A 1,522-nucleotide genomic window follows, 5' to 3' on the forward strand; every position below is an offset into this window, starting at 1 on the left:
CTCAAAGCACAAGCCTCCTCCGGTTTTTCTCCTCCTTGGCCCAGGAGCCTGTTCTAGCCTTGGGGCTGGAAGGCCTTTCTCTGACTCATCAAGTTTTATTTTTTTTGCCTCTAATCCTTTACTCCCCTCAAGTCTTAAGTTTTTGGAGCCTCAAAGCCTTTTCTGTGTCTTTTGCTGAAAATGACCCTCTCACTCCTGTGGGCGGAGGATTACCTAGGTGCCGAGGCAAGAGACTGAAGGCACAAACTGTTTCAGTATAATAAAGAAAATGGAATAAGAATAGTCATAATACAAATTAGATGTAGAGATGATCATGGACAATTATCAATCATTATTATAAACATTATTAATCATTAGCTTTTAATTACTAATATAACCTAGGAATAACTGGCAGGTATAGGGTCAGGTGCTCAAGAGACATTGTGAGAAGTGACCTAGAAGGCAAGAGGTAGCCTTCTGTCACGCCCACATAAGGGCTACTTGAGGGCTCCTTGGTCAAGCGGTAACGCCAGTGTCTGGGAAGGCACCCGTTACTTAGCAGACCACGAAAGGGAGTCTCCTTTCCTTGGAGGAGTCAGGGAACACTCTGCTCCAGCAGCTTCTTGTGGAAGGCTGGATATTACCCAGGCCTGCCCGCAGTCATCCGGAGGCCTAAACCCCTCCCTGTGGGGCTGTGCTTCAATAGTCATGCTCCCTGTTCACTTTCATGTTCCTCCTCTACTCCTGGTTCCTCTTTGAAGTTCGTAGTAGACAGCGATAGAAGAAATACTGAAAGTCTTAAAGTATTTGGTCTTTCTTATGAATGCATAGAAGAAAACGCTGACGTATGCTGCCTTCTCTCTCTCTGTTTCGGCTACCTAAGAGGGAAGGGCCCCCTGTCCTACGATCATGTGACTTGCTTCACCTTGTCAATCACTTAGAAGATTCACCCTCCTTACCCTGCCCCCTTGTCTCCTATGCAATAAATATCAGCACTTCCAGCCGGTTCAGGGCCACTACCGGTCTCTGCATCTTGATGGTAGTGGTCCCCCGGGCCCAACTGTTTTCTCTTTATCTCTTTGTCTTGTGTCTTTATTTATTACTATCTCTCATCTCCGCACACGGGGAGAACACCCGCTAAGCCCCATAGGGCTGGACCCTACATACTACGGGCCGTGGATATCAAGCTTCCCCTCCCACCAAGTCTAGTTGCTGCCAAAGTGACAGAGGGAGCTTGGGGGCTTGGGGAAGAGAAAACAGTTTGGGGTGGGAGATGTATTAAAATGATCCATTGGCTGGGTGCAGTGGCTCACACCTGTAATCCCAGCACTTTGGGAGGCCGAGGCTGGAGGATCGCTTGAGCCCAGGAGTTTGAGACCAGCCTGGGCAACATAGGAAGACCCTGTCTCTACAAAAAACTTCAAAAATTACCTGGGTGTGGTGGTACGTGCCTGTGGTCCCAACTGCTCAGGAGGCTGAGGTGGATCGCTTGAACCCAGGAGGTTGAGGCTGCAGTGAGCTAGGACTGTGCCACTGCACTGTA

At 48.8% G+C, this 1,522-nt stretch overlaps 1 annotated feature.

Annotated features, from left to right (window-relative positions):
* Positions 632 to 921: an enhancer, noted in NCBI's record as "active region_26131". NCBI's record gives its function as "activates an Ori minimal core promoter by ATAC-STARR-seq in GM12878 lymphoblastoid cells {active_cell/tissue: GM12878}" and the evidence as "EXISTENCE:reporter gene assay evidence [ECO:0000049][PMID:35858748]".

The sequence above is a fragment of the Homo sapiens genome, chromosome 7 (assembly GCF_000001405.40).
Source record: "Homo sapiens chromosome 7, GRCh38.p14 Primary Assembly".
Lineage (NCBI taxonomy): Eukaryota > Metazoa > Chordata > Mammalia > Primates > Hominidae > Homo > Homo sapiens.